Genomic DNA, 18,463 nt, shown 5'->3' with positions numbered 1-18,463 from the left:
ACACTGCCCCTCTGAATTGATAGCCTTTCTCCCCGCTTGATATAATTAGGCTTTGTATCCCCACCCAAATTTCATCTCGCATTGTAATCCCCAGGTGTTTAGGCAGAGACCTGGTGGGAAGTGATTGGATCATGGGGGTAGTTTCCCCTATGCTTTTCCCCTGACAGGGAGTGAATTCTCGCGAGATCTGATGGTTTTATAAACGGTAGTTTTTCCTGCACTGACACACACTCGCACACTCTCACCTTCTGCCATGTAAGAAGTGCCTTTTCCCCTTCAGCCATGATTGTAAGTTTCCTGAGGCCTCCCCAGCCATGCGGAACTGTGAACAGGTTAAACCTCTTTCCTTTATAAACTATCCATACTCGGGTACGATACTACTCGGGTAGTATCTTTACAGCAGTGAGAGAACGGACTAATACACTGCTGTTTATACATCTCCCAGATCACTGACAACTTCCTACCTCAAGTTAGAGTGAAGCTAGACCTCCAATTCGAGTGTAAAAAAGACTCATTCACCTCCGTAGTCACCACCATTGATCAACACTCTTATTAGCACACTCATAATCCTACTGAGAGTTTCCTGTGAGTTTGGCACTGTACTTACTGCTTTCTTTGCTTTATTTGCATTTAATTCTCACAGCAAACCTGCCAGAAGGGATTATTACCATCCCCATTTTACAGATGAGGAAACTGAGGCTCAGAGAGGTTCATTCCAAGCTACACAGCTACAGAATGACAGAGCCCAGGCTCAACCTGAGGAATCCAGCTGGCTTTAAAGTCATTGCAGCTAGGGGCAGTGGCTCACACCTGTAATCCTAGCACTCTGGGAGGCTGAGGTAGGAGGATCACTTGAGGTCAGGAGTTCAAGACCAGCCTGGGCAACATAGAGAAACCTTGTCTCTACAAAAAAATTTTAAAAAAGTGATTGGTCAGGTGTGGTGGCACATGCCTGTAGTCTCAGGAACTCCCTGAGTCCAGAGGATCCCCTGAGCCCAGGAGTTTGAGGCTGCAATGAGCTATGATTGAACCACTGCACTTCAGCCTGGGCAACAGAGAGAAACCTTGTCTCTAAAATAATACTAATAATAAATGAAGTCACTGCATTTAACCACTGCTTAACACATCCTCGGGAATTTGTTGATGAATCACATTTTTTTTCTAATGATTTTATACTTTAAAAGAGGACTGAGTAGAGAGAACAATGCTTTACCCAAAAGAACAAATCTAATGGTAGGATTCCAGGCATCATGACTTGGCTTGGTGGCAGAGATTAGGACCAGAGAGGCCTTTTCTGGGTCTTCCAATCACAGCTCACAGGAAGCGGCTGCATGGCCGGCTGGCCTGGGTCACAGTCTCCATTTCTGGAGACCCCTTTTAAATTTGATGTTGTGACAGAAGGGTTATGACACGCTTCCTCTAATGTGGGTCTGGGACACATTTTAGCCATTTGATTACATTTAATGTAGTTGTGGTTTTTATGGCCATGTGCATTGTCCTAAGCTGCCCCTGGACCCTCTCTCCCCTGGGCCTCAGGGTAATGGGCGTATTAAATAAATCTATTACATGAATCAATAAGACATTCTTGGGCATCCTCATTTCAGCTTTGGAAACAGTGAAAGAGAAACAGAGTTCTGGATGTTTGCCCCAGGAACATCTTAAAGCAGCATTGTGTTTCTAGCATGCAGAGAGGGAGGGAGGGAGGGAGGAGGCTTGGGAGAGAAATGTCCTGGTGGTGGCCTTCCCCATCTTCATGGCTGCCATTGAGAAAGGGTCTGTGGCTCTCCCTTTCCAAGTGAGCTCAAGCTCTGGCACAGAGAAAGCTCAGGAAAGGACTGTCAAATAAGTAATGTTGACGTGGCCACTCTGCCCAGCTTTCCTTTACAATCTACTCCAGGGTTTCTTAACTGCAGCCCTATTGACATTGTGGGCCAGGTCATTCTTTTTTTTGGGGGGGCAGGGGGGCAGCTCTGAGCATTGTAGGATGTTTAACAGCATCCCTGGCCTCTGCAAACTAGATGCTGGGAGCAAACCTGCTCCCTCAGTCATGACAACTGAAAATGTCTTCAGACATTGCCAGTGGTTGGGGAGGAGTGAGGGGTATGGGTAACAAAATTTCCCCTGGTGAGAACCAGGGCTTTAATCAGAAATCTAGGTTGCACACAGTGGCTCACACCTGTACTCCAGCACTTTGGGAGACTGAGGCAGGAGGATTGCTCTAGACCAGATATTCAAGGCCAGCCTGAGCAACAAAGCAAGACAGCATCTCTATAAATTTTTTTTAAAGTTATCCTCACATAGTTTCACATGCCTGTGTATCCCAGCTACTTGGGAGGCCAAGGTGGGAGGATCACTTGAGTTGAGGAGGTGGAGGCTGCAGTGAGCCGTGATCATGCCTCTGCACTCTAGCCTGGATGACTGATGGAGACCCTGTCTCTAAATATATCTAAAGAAATCTATAGAATCGGTTACTAACCTCTCCAAAAAGAAAAAGAATGGAGGAACATCAGTTTGGGTATTCCTTTCCCTGCAAGATCTGGAGCACTCATGTCTTGGAAATGCTAAGAGAGCCAATTCTTGTTTGGATTATACCGAGATTATCACATGAGTCCCTCATCAGTGAGTGACCAGAGGTGTTCAGAGGTTGTTTGCCACGATGTTATAAGCCGGGCAGCCCCATCAATTCTGCCCCACCCACCCTTCCTGGATACTTCCTGTGTTTTGGGCAGGCACCTTGGTAGGTGAACAGGGGATATCTCGGTTCATCTTTCTGATTTGGGGCTTCGGAATGACAACAGGAGAGCTGTTCTTAAATGATTCATCCTCAGAATATCAGATAAAGGAAGCAAAAGGAATAACGTTAAAATAATAATAGCTGAGATGACCTGGGCATGTATTAGGAGATGAGGGTTCTTATATGCTTAATGCTCACAACCACCCCAGGAGGTTGGTGATATCAAGAAAACCAAGAACCAGATGTGTTTAGAAACCTGTCTAAGATCACACAGCAAGTGAGAGAGCTTGGCCTCAGTCCAGGATGATTGGGCTCCAGAACCTATGGGGATTTCTTTCTTCCACACATAACAGTTGAAGGAATTATATGAGAATGTCTACTTAACCTAGCACCTAGATTCTGAAGTTAATATTTTGTTGTACAGATGCTCCTTGACTTATGATGGCGCTACATCTGGATAAACCCATCATACGTCAAAAAAGAAGTCAAAACTGACATAAAGCTCTCAACTTACAATATGAAGTTACGCTTTCCACTGAATGCAGATCACTTTCATGCCATCAAAGAGTTGAAAAATCACAAGTGGAACCACTGTAAGTCAAGGAGAATATGTACTTGCTTTATCACACATCCATCCTCCATCATCCATTATTTCATTGTATTTATGTGTGTGTACATTTCAAAATAAGTTGCAGACATTAGTTGACTTTAACCCTAAACATATCAGCCTGCGTATTATTCATTAGGGTTTAGTGTTTGTTTACAGCTTTTTTTTAAGATAAAAATTTATATCCATAACATGCATAAATCTTAAACCTGTCACTCCATGAGTTTTGAAAAATCCATATACCTTTGTAGTGCACACCCCTTATCAAGAGATAATTACCATCTGCCCATCAAGTTTCCTCATGCCTCTTCTTGGTCAATTCCTGTCTCCAAACCACAGGAGCAAGTACTTTTCCAATGATTTTTTTGTCCATCATGGATTAATTTAGCCTGTTTAGAACTTCCCAAAATTTGCACTCATACAGTATGTCCTCTTTAGTGTAAGGCTTTTTTATTCCACATAATATTTTTGAGATGCATCCATGTTATTACATGTATCAAGTTTGTTCCTTTTTATTCCCAAATTCCATTATATGACCATAACTCAGTTTGTTTATCCATTCTCCTCTTTATGAAAACCTGGGCTATTTCCAGATTTTTGGCTATTAAGAATTAAACTGCTATGAATATTCTTGCACAATTCTTTTGGAGGCCATCTGCTTGTATTTCTCTTGGGTGAATACCTAGGATGGGAATGCTGGGACATAGGGTGGCTGTTATGTTCAGATATATTAAAAAAGAAAAGCACTGCGCCTTTCCCCAAAGTGATTGGGCCACTTTGCCTTTCCACCAACAACGTATGAGAGTTCCAGTTGCTCCACATCCTGGCCAACATTTAGTGTTGTCAGTTTTTTAGTTTTAACTCTTCTGGCAGTTGTGTAGTAGTATCTCAGTGTGGTTTTAATTTACATTAAATTAAGATTTTTCTGACAACTAATGATGTTGGGCACTTTTTCATGTGTTTATGGGCATTCACATATCTTCTGTGAACTATCTGTTCAATCCTTTTGTCCTTTAAAAAACATTAGGTTGTCTTGTCTATTTGATTTTGAGTTGGAGGAGTTCTTCATATATTCCAATACCAGTCCTTTGCCAGATATAGATTTTAGAGTGTGTCGTTTTAACTTTTAGGAGCACAGAGGCAGTGAAGAGCTTTGGAATATTTACACTGTTGATTTCTGAAGTAGGAGACACTTCAGATTGCTGTGAGTCAGAGCTCCCTTTCCCTTGTACACCCTAACCCGTGGCTGTTAAGATCACCAGGCTGAAAAGTGCTTTGCACACTCAGGAATAGATGGGGTGAGAGAATGAAAAACCCGAGAAGGAGAAGGAAGGAGAGGAAATGGGGATTGGCATAGGAAAGTAGTTGCATGGAGTTATGCTCACAAGGCTGAGACCTACTTCCAGCTTTCCTGGATACAGGTTGCATTTTGCCTGGAGGAATCACAGACTTTTTCTGTGTTGAGTTCTGTAGATTTGGGATTTATGATAGTCATTTTAGCTGTTCACCAAATACTTTCAGCTGTCCTCCTTGCTCACACAACAAAAGACTACATTTCTCTGCCTCCTTTGAAGTTAGCATGGCTAGGTGACTTATTTTGGCGAATAAAATGTGAACAGAAGTGATTTCTGGGCAGAAAAATTTCAGAGCCAGTGCAATTCTTGTTCCCTTCATACTACTGTGGTAATTAAAGTAGCCTAGGTCTCTAAGTAATTACAATGAGCAGAGTCCCTGGCTGAAATGAATTAGATAAGTAGCATTAGTATGAAATAAACTTTTGCTGAGATTTTGTGGTTGTTACTTTAGCATAACCTAGCCTATCCTATTTGTTAGAGGACTACGTTCTCTTTCCATAGGCTGCCTAAGATGTATAATGAGATTTATATGACTCAGCTCATTCTTCTTGCATCTTTAGACATATGTCTTCACTGTTCTGTGAAATTGATAGCCTGATTATCTTACAGCAAACAAATAAATATAACAATTGAAACTCAATCTTGCCACTAACTTTCTTCTTTCCTCTTGGTATTTTTTTAAACAGCAGGAAAGTGGTTTTGATTTTTAATGCATGATAGCCAACGAAACGAATTAGGACCATTTTAAATCAAACAATAACAATAAAATTTAATTCTGTTTTGAAATAGGGATGAAAAAGTGTAGGAATCATGTGGATTTATGGCTCCCCATGGGATCCTAAAAGGGTTTGCATTATCAGGCTAAGCAGAATCTTCCCTGAGAAGACAGAAGACAAGAGGAGAAGCAACAGTACCAGAATGAGTCATTAGAAGATTCGTCTCTCAAATGTGCACAAGACCCTGCATTCAGATCAGTCACAAGAGAAGAAAGGGTCCAGACTGCCAGAGCTGTATTCAGTTTCTTCTCTTCTTCAACCAAGCCCCAAAGTCATGGCTGATATTTACCAACCAGTTCTTGCCCATTAATCATCAGCAAATCCAAAACTTTCCAAGTTGATGTGTCCAGTTTAAAACTAACAGCTCATTAAACGTTGCAGTCTCTTTAGCATATCAAAGGGATGTTTACGAAGGACCCAGCACTTAGCTTTGGGAATTAAAGAGTAAATAAAAGTCCGTTTGATTCTACACAATTCAACAAATATTTATTGATCACTTTACAGGGCCCAATAATCACTGTTCATATATGAGTCTGCCCAAAATAAAATAAGTGAGGGTCAGTTAAGTCCCAGGCATGAGAAGTGTCAACAGAGGACCAGTTGACCATTTTTTTTCAACAGCAGACACTCAATTTGATGCACACACCAATCTTCTCCTTTGTTCTAGAACAATAGTAGCAGCAATGCATCAGAAATTGTGGGATCTTAATGCAAGCCATGATGTTTTCAATTGTGATGGCAATTTTCACTCTTTCCCTCAGACTGGCTTCTTCCAGGGGCTTGGCCTCTGGACCTGGGCTCATTTTTGTGGCTATGTCAATATCCTTCGTGATGGCCCAGCTTGGACCCAATGGGTAACGATCTGCTGTTGTGATTACTATTCATTTTGCAATTTTATTTCAATCAAAAGAGTAAGGCTTAAGGGTTGTGGCCCTACCCAACTCCCCAGGGCTGAGATCTTAACTCCCTGGGCTGGGGGCCCCTCTCGAACACACGTGGAACTGATTTAGTAGCCAGACAGCCTAACGGCAGAAAGAATTGCACTAAAGAAGCTGACTTCTCTGCTGGCCTGTGTTTCTAGACTGTGTATATAGCTAACAGTATGGAGTCATTACTGGATGCCAGACACAGCCAAAAGCTCTACCCTTATCTCATTTAATCCTCCCAACAGCCCTATGAAGTAGGAGTTATTTTTAAGCCCCATTTTACAAAGGAGGAAACTGAGGCACAGAGACTCAGAGCCACTGAACTTATAAATGGCAGAGTCATGATTTTCTCTCAGTAACTCTTTCCCCATGATCGTCACTAAATTTTTTAAATATTGGACAATAGCCAGGGTACAAAGAAGTGTTTAAAGGAGGGTACAGGCCTCTAGACAATCTGCTATAATGTAAAATAAGCCAAGTAGCCTCTGTTGAACAAATCTAGAATCTGTGTTCTGAGTGAGATAAAAAGGGGCATTAAAAAAAACATAAATGATTTGAAAAGTATTATACATTATATTGAACAATCTTCAAGATCCGGTATACAATGGAAAGGGAAAATCATAAAACAGTACATGTAGTATGATCACACATATGTAAAAACAGGAGAGACTTATATTTACCTGTGCACAAATATGAAGCAACGTGCAAAAAAATTCCTGGAGGAATGCACACTAAACCACACTTACCTCTGGGGAGGGAAACAAGATGGAGAGAACGGTGAAAAAGAGAATTTTTCTATTTAACTCTGTGGAATTATGGTTTGCTCTGACTCTTTTACAGTAAGAATGGACTCATGTATTATTTAAATTATTTTTGTAAATGCATCTGAATCAAAAAGATCATAACAAGTACCAACTAGCGTCTGAATAAACTGGGATTTGGATTGTAAGATGATGCAGCTGCTTTGGAAAACAATTTGGTGGTTCCTCAAACTGTTAAATGTAGAGTTACCACAGGACCCAGGAGTTCCACCGAAAAACATGTTCATAGCAGCATTATCCGTAACAGTGAAAAAGTGAAAACAACCACCAGATGTTCATCCACCAATAAATGGATAAATAAAATCGGATCTAACCATGCAATGGAATATTATGCAGCCACAAAAAGGAATGAAGCACTGAAGCGTGCTACATCATGGACGAACCTTGAAGGCATTATGCTAAGTGAAATAAGCCAGTCACAAAAGACCATATATTGTGTGATTCCATTTATACGAAACATCCAGAATACACAAATCTATAGAAGGGAGAAGGATCAGGGAACTGGGGTGACTGCTAATGAGTACCAGATTTCTTTTTGAGGGGACGAAACCATTCTAAAATCAAATTGCCGTGATTGCATAACTCTCCTAAAATAGTAACAACTACTGAATTGTACACTTTAAATAGGTTACTTTTATGATACATGAAGTGTATCTCAATAGAGCTATTGTTTCTCTCTTTTGAGACAGGGTCTCACTCTGATGACCAGGCTGCAGTGCAGTGGCATGATCATGGCTCCCAGCAGACTCAACCTTCCAGGCTCAATTGATCCTCCTGCCTCAGCCTCCCGAGTAACTGGAACTACAGGTGTGCACCACTATGCCCAGCTAATTGCTTTTTGTAGCGATGAGATCTTGCGACGTTGTCCAGGCTGGTCTGAAACTCCTGGCCTCAAGCAATTCTCCTGCCTGGGCCTCCCAAAGTGTTGGGATTGCAGGCATGAGCCACTGTGCCCAGCCTAGAGTTGTTATTTTAAAAAATCTGTACAAGGTACTTCTTCATTAGTTGTTACAGACTATAACATTTTAAAATACCATTTTAGAATATAAATTAGATATGTTTATTCTACAACACTTAGATAATATGGAAAGGTATAATTATGAAATAAAATTACCAGAGGCTTAAAATTTTATAATAAAATGACACCTGCTCATAGTAAAAATTTGAAAAATATTAAAGGGTGTAGAGAACATTTCAGACTTTCTTCCATCTGAGACTCCCAGTCCCTCCCTCTAGTGATTACCAGTTTCACCAGATTCTTATTAGGCCTCTAATATTTTTCTGTGTACATACCACCATGCAAAACATATATATAGATAAACACATGTGAATATACATATATACACGTATAATTATGTATATATCCTTTCAAAATAATTGAGATCACACAATACACACTATCATAACTCTTGACTTTTAAAAAAGTGAGCAATTTATCTTCAGGATCTTTCCACACCAATGCCTATGGACCTAGTTGATCTTCTTGATAGCTGCATAACGTTCTGCAACGTACCAGCCTATTCTTTTCTTGCTGGTTGTCTCCCATGTTTTGCTTTTGCTGACATTGACAATGGCCATGGTTATGATTTATTTCCTAGGAGGAGTGTTTCAGGTCAGATGTGAACAGGGCATGAGAAGTCTGTCAATCCATGCCGTCCCCAAACTTTTGTTTTGTTTTGTAAATAGCTAATTTCACTGCACTCCAGCGGGGAGACAGAGCAAGAGCCTGCCTCAAAAAAAATAAAAAAGTGATTTTATACCTGTGGTACAAAATGCAAAAGCACAACAGGGTATGCAGTGAAAAGTAAGTTCCTTTTTGTCCCTAGTTAACCAGTACTCATCCCTGGGGCCAACCATTCCTACCAAGTTTTGGTCCTTTCATGAACCATCATGAAAATAGCATTCTTACACTGGTGGGGAGTGCCTTTTAAAGTGAACCTTTCTGTTAGGGCACGGTGGCTCACGCCAGCACTTTGGGAAGCTGAGGCAGGAGGATCACTTGAGGTCAGGAGTTTGAGACCAGGCTGGACAACATGGTGAAACCCCATCTCTACTAAAAATACAAAAATTAGCCGGGCATGGCAATCCCAGCTACTCAGGAAGCTGAGGCAGGAGACTTGTTTGAACCCGGGAGGCAGAGGTTGCAGTAAGCCGAGATCGTGCCACTGCACTCCAGCCTGGGCGACGGAGCGAAACTCCATCTCAAAAAAATAAATAAATAAATAAAATAAATTAAAAAAAATAAATAAAGTGAAGCTTTTCAGGTGCCAGTACAAATGGGTGCCTCAAGTCTTGTAAGTTAATGTAACACGTTTCCTCTTGATAAATATCAAATAGTTTTTAGAAGTGAACTAGCCAAATAACTCATGTGTCCCAGAATTAGTAAGCAAATAACATTTTGGAACTTTATATAAAGAACCCTATCTGGCTGAGGGCTATGGCTCATGCCTGTAATCCCAGCACTTTGGGAGGCTGAGGTGGAAGGATCACTTGAGGCCAAGAATTCAAGACCAGCCTGGGCAATATAGCAAGACTCTATCTCTATTTTTAAAAAAATTATCCAGGCATGGTGCCATCCACCTGTAGTCCTAGCTACTTGGGAGGCTGAGGCGAGAGGATGGCTTGACTCAGGAGTTAGAGGACTACAGTGAGCTGTGATAGCACCACTGCACTCCAGCCTGGGCAACAGAGTGAGGCCTCATCTCATATATATATATGCATGCGTGTGTGTGTGTGTTTGTGTGTGTGTGTGTATATATATATATATATACACATACACACACACACACGCACGCATATATATAAACTCTATCATTGGGATGGTGATACTGGCTAGGAAAGATTTATACACACATACAAAGAGGTGGGGAGAGATTGAGAGAGAGAGAGATTGAAAGAGATAGAGCTTGGTCAGGTAGAGAGTTGCTGGGATTTTGAGTCAGACAGGCTAGATTTGAATCTCAACTCCACCATTTAAAAAGAGAGAACCTGAATTCTGAATCTTTCTCTCTAAACCACAGCTTCCTAGGCTGTGAATTAGGGTTAATCTGGTCTATCTTGCAGTATTTATAGGCAGCAGGGCAGAGGCTAGAGTGAGGTTACTGAGACACTCAGCTGAGGAGCAAAATTCAAGGGCATGCCCCTAACCTCAGTAATCAAGAAAAACAGAAGTTGAATACAGTTTCAAAAAATCAAATCAGCAAATGGTGATGGGCTGGCTGCTGCTTTTGTAAATACAGTTTTGTTGGAATTAAAGATGATTTTGTAGTGCCTCTAGTTCAGCACCTTTGAAATAGGTGCCTTTCAAGCGACTCATGAAACTTGGGTTATTTAATAAATTGAGGGTATTGGCTGAATCCTTGGTTCAGATACTACTTAATTTAAAAGAACATTCTGGCATCCATTCCTCCAACTCCCACTCCCCTCCCCTCTTCTCACAAAGGAGATGGGGCTCCATCCTCAAGTCATTTATCAGCATGGCAGATTAAAATTAGGCAACAGGAAGTTTTCTGTTCATATTGTAATATAACTGAATCACCAGTTCTCTATTGATAATTCATTATGTGTTGCCGCTCTCACGCTGCAGCTCTGAAATGCTTTTTGCCATAATGATTTTAAACCCCACTTCTATAATAGCCTCCTGACGGTGCCGATCATCCCCGCTTCCGTGTACAATAATATTATTCTGCAATCCGTCTTGGGAGAATGCTTAAAAGCTTTCTCTCATTTTCTCCATTTAACTCATGTATTATCTGAGTTTTTACATTAAATGGCCATTCTTAATATCCCAAGACATGTCACCTCTTTTCTAGAGAGGACACTGATACAGTACTTACCCGATTCCAGAATCTATACTAATCGAATCATGCTTTCCCACTTCAGCCGAGAGCAGTTCGTTCGGCGCAACAGCATTTAATCTGGAGAAAGAACTTATGAAAGAGAACAAAAACAATTTAAGCTGCAGTTGGTTAAATGCGAACGTGATTGATGCAATTTGTTTTATAAAAAGGAATTAGCAGATATTGAAGTCAAGTTGTGGAATGAAGGTCAAAAATGCTCAGATTTATTGTGACTACAACCAACAATGATGCTGTTTTAAACGCCAAACCTGGGCAAATTGTGGATAAACATTCGAGTTTTGATACCAGAGGAGGAGAAAGGCTACAGCTCAAGCTTTAAATCTACACTATGATCTAGTAATTTAAAAACACTGAAATCCATCCTCCAAATCCTGGTACTTCACCCAAGACTCACACCACTATGTTTAATCTGTGCTTCCCCGCACTGCCTTGAGCAATAAGCTAGAAAGCCTATTTAAGCACCGATTTTAAGAGAAAAAGAATGTGTGATCATAGACCCACCTTCCCTGTAGAATTCAAACACAAAACGGCAAAGTTGAAGCCCAAATTCCTTTAAGGCATAAAGGGATATAACTGACTTTTGCCTTGAGGCCCCTGGGCTGGGAATATTTTGATTTTTAAGAGTCAGGGACCCCCACAAACCTGCAGGCTGATTTCTTTCTTGTGCAGATAGAAAGTTCCATCTCACTAATGGATTGGGGGCAGGACACGGGACGCGTTTGGAGGCCAGTAATGGAGAAGATGCTCATTTCAATCCGAGAGTGGCTGGGGGCTGGGGAGAGGGCAATGGGTCCTCTCAGAGGACAATGAATCATCTATCCTATTGACGTGGGCACCAGCCCTGAGAGGAACGAATGAACTTGATTGACCTACCCGGAATCTAAGTGATGATGACCCAAAGAGCAGGGAGTAGAGGATCGCCTAAGCCTTGGTGCCAAACAGATCTAGGTTTGAATCCACTCTCTGCCACATAACAGCTGTGTGACTTTGGGCAAGTCACTTAACCTCTCTGAACCTCAGTTTTCTCATCTGTATGGAGATAACAGTATCTACCTTGCAGGGTTGCAGTGAAGAGAATAGATATAATATATGTAAAGCACCTCACACAGTGTTCAGCACACAGTAGGTATCCAACAAAGTGGTAGCTCTATACATCCTATGTGATCAAGGCAACACAGATGTCCCTGTGTGGCCAATTGTAACTTGAGGGATTGCTATAGCCAAAATTGCAGACAGTTAATTGGATTGTAAATTGACTTGTTTATTCCATTTAAAAACAACAGACAAATACATTGAGAAATTAAAATTGTGGGAGGACTTCATAGAATGGAATGTGCTTTGCACTTTAAAAATTAATCTTCAAAAACTCCATGTTGCCATTTTGGGTTGCCAGGGTGTCATTGGCAAAGACCTCAACAGAGAGAGATGCTTTGCCATCTCCCTTATCCAAAGGCATTTATTTTATTTTATGCTTGCATTCTGGCTCCTGGAGCCTCTTTGCTGGCATCGTGTGTGATGATAAATCCATTTGTTTGGGCAACTTCAGTAGGGAAATTTGCCCAGAAAACGGGCTGGAGCTGGCTTTGGAAAAAGCCAGATTAAGTCTCCAGCAGACCGGGGTCCCTTCCAAATGACTTCCCAGTGGGCAGGAAGTGTTCGGTTCCGTACAGTGTGCAGCCTACACAGAAAGCCCCAAACCATGTTAAACAAAGAAGACCCAGCCACTGGCAGTTGAATCGATTGGCAGATATCAGATTGCATTCCTTTGTCTGCTTTCCCAGCTTATTTTCAAACCCCAGTCCAACCTTTGTGGAAGAACAAGCTTAAATGCTGACAAATTTCCCCCTCCATAAGAAATTACTCCTGCAATTTGTCTTTTTAGCTGAGCTTCTGTGGGCCTATGTAGCGTAAAAAAAATGTTGTCCTTGTCACCTGCCATTTTTCCAGCCAGGCTGACACCCCCGGGCTTCCCAACAGCTCTCTTCAGCAGGAGCTGTCTCCGAGCTCTTAGCACCACCAGATAATTGAGGTTGTCACATCTCTTGTTCATTGTTTTTTCCAGCCCTGGAAAAATGCAAATATTTCAATGTAGTCATTAATTTTCCCATCCTTTTCTTCAAGCATCTCGTCGGTGTGATCTCATGAAAAGGGCTGAAGGCATGATTGCAAACACCGTGGCGTCGGGCTTCTGCCCACGATGGGGAGAATCTCATCAGATCAAATCTCAGGGAAGTCATCAATCACGCCCGCTGACAACCATTTTGCCTTCGTTTGTTACAGATGTGAACATGCTTAATTATTTGTAGTGTAATTAGTTCATGAAATGTCAGGAAATGTCAAACTGCGTTCACAGCACACATTTTTTTTTTTTCTGCAAAGAGCATCGAGAGCAAGTGTCAGTGGGAAATGAAAGGGACTGATGAGAAGGGCTGTGTCTGCAGGCAAATGAAGGACTGGTTTGGGGAGACAAATGAGGGTCAAAATATCAAGATTAGGCATTTTGGAGAAGTAGACTTTCAAAACAAAACAAAACAGAAAATCCAGGTATACGTCAGACAAGTGGGATGTGACAAGCCAGACACTCTGCCAGGTTCCTACAAGGGGAGTGTGGGTTTGAGATTCTGTTCATCTTGAGTTTAAAAGCAGTGGATTTTGGTGAAAAAGGATGTCAGGTTAAAAAGGAATATCTGCACCCAGGGAGGCAGATTCTTTCACATATTCCTTATGCTAGAAATATTCTCCTTTTTCAACTATTTATTTTTAGGTGGATAAAATGCCAAGGTGTGGAATCAGTCTTTGGATGGAGGACGCTTTCTACCATAAAGAGAGAAATGGTTTCCTTCTGCAGCCTCGAGGAAAGAAGCGTTCTATAAGCTTTGGTGTTTATTTTCTTCTCATCTAATGCTAGAGGCCGGTGAGTTTGCCCACTATTTGGGTAAAAACCTGAAGATGCTCTCGAGACACTGGTCTTTGAAACTAATGAGGCTTGATTTCTTTGCAAAGGTCCCCAAAGGAAAAATGAACATGCCCACGATATATTTAAATGTGATTCAGACCCTCTTGACAAGCTTGGCATATTTTCTGGTGTCTAGATCTTTCTGGGGTTCTTTTGCAAAAGTACTGGATGCTGTGGATAGGTAGGTGATGCTAAAACCAGAGCTATCTATCCAGAGAACATGGGTCTCTTATTTCCAGGAAGGTGCTGTAATCTACTGCAAACTCAGAGTGCTGCAAACATGCCCTTCAGATAAGCAGTGTTCAGCAGACTTGGCACTGCGACTCAACCTGTTTGCCGTAATCCAGCAACTCCACGCTACTCCATAAAAAAAAAAATCCTTGCAAGAAGCTGAAGGACAGGAAGTGCACTGACATCCTACAAGTGCCTTTTGATTGACAATCTGACATTGAATTCCTGGATGGCCCTCCCCGTTCAGCAAAACACAGCAATCTTGAGATGGCAGAGATGGTCACCAAAGCTGGCCATGGTGTCAGGACTAAGTTGGTGAGTGATGACAGATCCTTACTCCTAGGTTGATCCCTGGGCAGTTTTAATGTCTGCACCCAGGGACACTCAGTTGGTTTAAACCTTCATGAAATCAGCATTCTCAAATGAATGCGCAGTGTCTTTAATGTGTCTCGGTTCCTCTACTCTCTTCCCCACTCCACATCATTTTCATCGCTAAGAGTTCCCAGGAACTTACATGCTTACCTGAGCTGTTAACCTCAAGAGTCTTATTAGCAACATGTTATGATCGCTACATTCAACATAGCTCTATTTTTAGGTTCCTATTATAACCCACAGTGAATCTTCCTCGGATGCTCCCTTCTCTCTGGAAACGAGCCGATGCATAAAATATTCCTACTACAGATTTTTAGGCCGGGCGCGGTGGCTCATGCCTGTAATCCCAGCACTTTGGGAGGCCGAGGCGGGCGGATCACGAGGTCAGGAGATCGAGACCATCCCGGCTAAAACGGTGAAACCCCGTCTCTACTAAAAATACAAAAAATTAGCCGGGCGTAGTGGCGGGCGCCTGTAGTCCCAGCTACTTGGGAGGCTGAGGCAGGAGAATGGCGTGAACCCAGGAGGCGGAGCTTGCAGTGAGCCGAGATCCCGCCACTGCACTCCAGCCTGGGCGACAGAGCGAGACTCCGTCTCAAAAAAAAAAAAAAAAAAAAAAAAAAATATTCCTACTACAGATTTTTAAAGTGGATTTTTGGCGGGAGAAAGGCATTCTCCAAATGAGGTCATGAGACCCTATGAAGAAATATAGACTCTCAGCTAGGGGTAGTTGTTTATAACTATGATTTTGATAAGATCTTAAGAGGAGGGAGAAGAAACACACACACACACGCACACACACACACACACACACACACATGCTAAGACAAATAATATTGAGCGCGGCAACCTTCCACTGCTAACCAAGGTGTGAGATTTCATTTGAGGCTGTCCATTTGGAAGCTCTTGGAAGGATGATGGTTATTAAAATGTTTATGTTTCAGAACATCACTTACAAGCCGGCACAAGACGAGGCATGGCATTAGAAAGTTCTAGTGACCTTCGCCAGGGCTGACTTCTGATTTCCAAACCCGCCAACCTTCAGTAGCTCTAGCTCCTTTTCAAGGTGAAAACAGTCCCTTGGTTTATCTTAGGAACGACATCATACGCTTAATTTTTCCCAAGCTTTTCATTTTCAAATAGACAGAGGCATCCTATTGAGCAGGGTTTTCTCCCTCAGCGCCTCAGGGTGGGTCTGTGTTACACTCCAATAGGACTGGAAGGCTCACTGCACCTTTTCCCACCTTTTGTGTGTGAAGTGGCAGCCGTGAATTTAATAGAGGGAGAATGCTGTGATTACTTAATGGTTTCCCAGACAGCGATGGCCTGGAGAATTAAATTTCACATCTGCTTTCATGGCGTTAATCTCTCTTCTCACACTCCGCCTGTTATGATGTGCACACGAGAGATAATGTTTAAACTGACTAAAGCAAAGTAAACCAGACAAGTCTGTTATTGGCTTTATAATTACATAATTAACTTTTTGTCTCTAATCGTTATGGAGGTAATGGTGCTGTTAAAATGGGCTTCTCTTGAGCAGAAACTAAATCAAAAATCAATAATCCATAGAATGCCATTAAGGCCTGTAACAGCCCTTGTTGGATTCACTCAAATTTTTGTACTGCAAATGAATTTCATTAGGACGCAGAATGTTATCGCACAAGCTGACTTTCAACTGATAGCAAAGAGCAGAGCATCGTAATCAGCCACACGCAGGAAAATGGACAAATGTTGCCGTAAATTACACCATGCTTGTAATGCAGTTACTGTAGAGTGATTGACCTCCTCGAAATTAATTCTATTTTCCATGAACCCTCCTTTATTTCTAATTTACATTACGATCATATATGTCTGAAAAATGATATAATAAAAAAGATTAATGTACTAATTACTTGTCTCCTTATCTTTTTCCCTGATGCCTACACCTTTGGACTGACTCCACTCAGCATGTAAGTATGTGACTTATTTCACTGTGACAGGGGTAATGTATTTGTAAACTGTACTATAAATATTGGAATCTCATATTCAGACACTGGCATATCTCATATTCAGACACCGGCATTTCTGAGCTATGCTTTTTCAAATGAATTTAGAATTGACAAAAATTTTCAAAGCCAAATTACGAGTGTGTCACTGTGAAATTAGGTTCTTGACCCTGCTTCTGATGTGTGCTTATTTTTCTCCACATTTTCTCCTTCAATTTTATGCATCACTATTCACTCCTGGAATTGGTGACATGGCTTTCCCAAAAGGGGGTAAGTAATACTTTAATACATCTATGAGAGGAGGCTGCGTTTTTCATGAATATTCTGAAAGCTAGCTGTCACTTCAGTCAATTGATATTCCTACGCTTCATTACAGAGAGGGTGAACTTTTTATGATAGGGCATATCTTCGTAAACTTTATTTCATCTCCCTGACGTCCTCAACTTTCATTATTCCAACTTAACTGTGTTTTTCTATTATTTTAAGTGTGTTCCATTTAAGATTGAATGGTCCTGTGGATAAATCAAAATGCCATAGGTATCCTCTAAGAGAGGACTCAAATCCAAACTTACCCTGGACTCAGCAGGCTGAGTAGACACAGGCAGACTTTCTACAGATTCATTTCCCAATGAGAGGATGCATATAAACTTATTGGGAGAAGTATGTGTGCTATTTCCATCGGCCATTTCCCGTATTTGCTAATTTGTACTACACTCAGTTATCTGGATTTTTGAGTTCATTGAGCCTCCCATACGTGAGAATATTAACAAGCAGATAGAGAAACAATTCTTTTGTGGAAGAAATAAAAGAGCAAGGAAACATTCGCAGCTATGTTTATGGTTAAGGTCTGAAAACGGCTCGCACTCCATGCCAGTGTTCTTAAGAGAATCATTGCGGGATATTTAAAATAACGCATTTCATAGAGTTCTGTAATTAAGACAAAATGGACTGCTAGCATATTGCATTCTACCATTATTCAACTTGCTGTCTCTTCATTTAACACTGGCAGAAAATTCATATTAAAATTTCATATGACTGAAAATCTTGTGGATTGAGTTGCATTCATCATCCTTTGGTGATTTTTGGTTCCAGGAGAGAATGGCTCAACCCTGTGAAATTACTCCTCATGTTAACACTCACTAATCCTGAATTGAGAACACACACGAATGCTTATGTTTGGTTCCTTTAAGCCAGAGACCATTGTCAAATGACAAACTATATCATGGAATATTGAGACAACTAATATTGATTCTTTTCCCTGAATGTTGATTTGGGAATTTAGGATGATTTGAATTTAGAATGGATTTTATTTCATTTCATTTTTTTTCTTGCTAAATATATAGTCATTACTGCCCTGAGCGAGGCCAGCAGCCGAACGCTACAGTCCCATATTTACATACAGTCAAATAAATCTGGACTGGTGACCTCACCATGCACAATTTATCACGCAGCCATCACCAGGAGCCATCTGTAGAGGTTCAGGACGACAGGGCGACTTGTTGGACCTTTTCAACTAGGAGTATCTATAATATGAACTTTCTTCCCTCTTGCTTGTTCTATCAGATCTGTCTCCTGAGTTGCTTCTTTTGCCTCAGTTGCAGTAATCCAGCTGCCTGCCGTACTGGCCTATTTAAAGGGCACCTGTTTATCGTAGGTGCTGTTTGCTGCTAGCGTACTAACCAGCTGGGAGGCTGGGTTACTGTTTGCTCAGAGGCTGGACAGACCTGTTCCTTTCTCCTGGGCGGATTCTGCATTAGAAGGACCGAGGCCAGCCAGGATGCAGCACAAGCTGTCCCAGGACCCACTGGCTGTGTGTGCAGGTCTGGATTTTCTGAAAAAT

The 18,463-nt window shown here is 41.5% G+C and overlaps 1 long non-coding RNA gene across 1 annotated transcript, besides 1 other annotated feature; it reads left to right on the top strand.

The window, feature by feature from the left end:
• Positions 1-255: 255 nt before the first annotated feature.
• On the top strand, positions 256-13,638 carry LINC02183 (long intergenic non-protein coding RNA 2183). The gene is made up of 3 exons (XR_933595.3): positions 256-288; positions 3,159-3,327; positions 13,201-13,638. It is a non-coding gene; the product is annotated as a long intergenic non-protein coding RNA 2183 (long non-coding RNA).
• Positions 15,321-17,368: an enhancer, noted in NCBI's record as "VISTA enhancer hs43". NCBI's record gives its function as "enhancer in: midbrain (mesencephalon)[6/6] | nose[5/6] | tail[5/6]" and the evidence as "EXISTENCE:transgenic organism evidence [ECO:0001131][PMID:17130149]".

The sequence above is a fragment of the Homo sapiens genome, chromosome 16, assembly GCF_000001405.40.
Source record: "Homo sapiens chromosome 16, GRCh38.p14 Primary Assembly".
In the NCBI taxonomy this organism is placed as follows: Eukaryota; Metazoa; Chordata; class Mammalia; order Primates; family Hominidae; genus Homo; species Homo sapiens.
The sequence above is the reverse complement of the archived record's forward strand: the minus strand, read 5'-3'. Positions and strand labels throughout refer to the sequence as shown.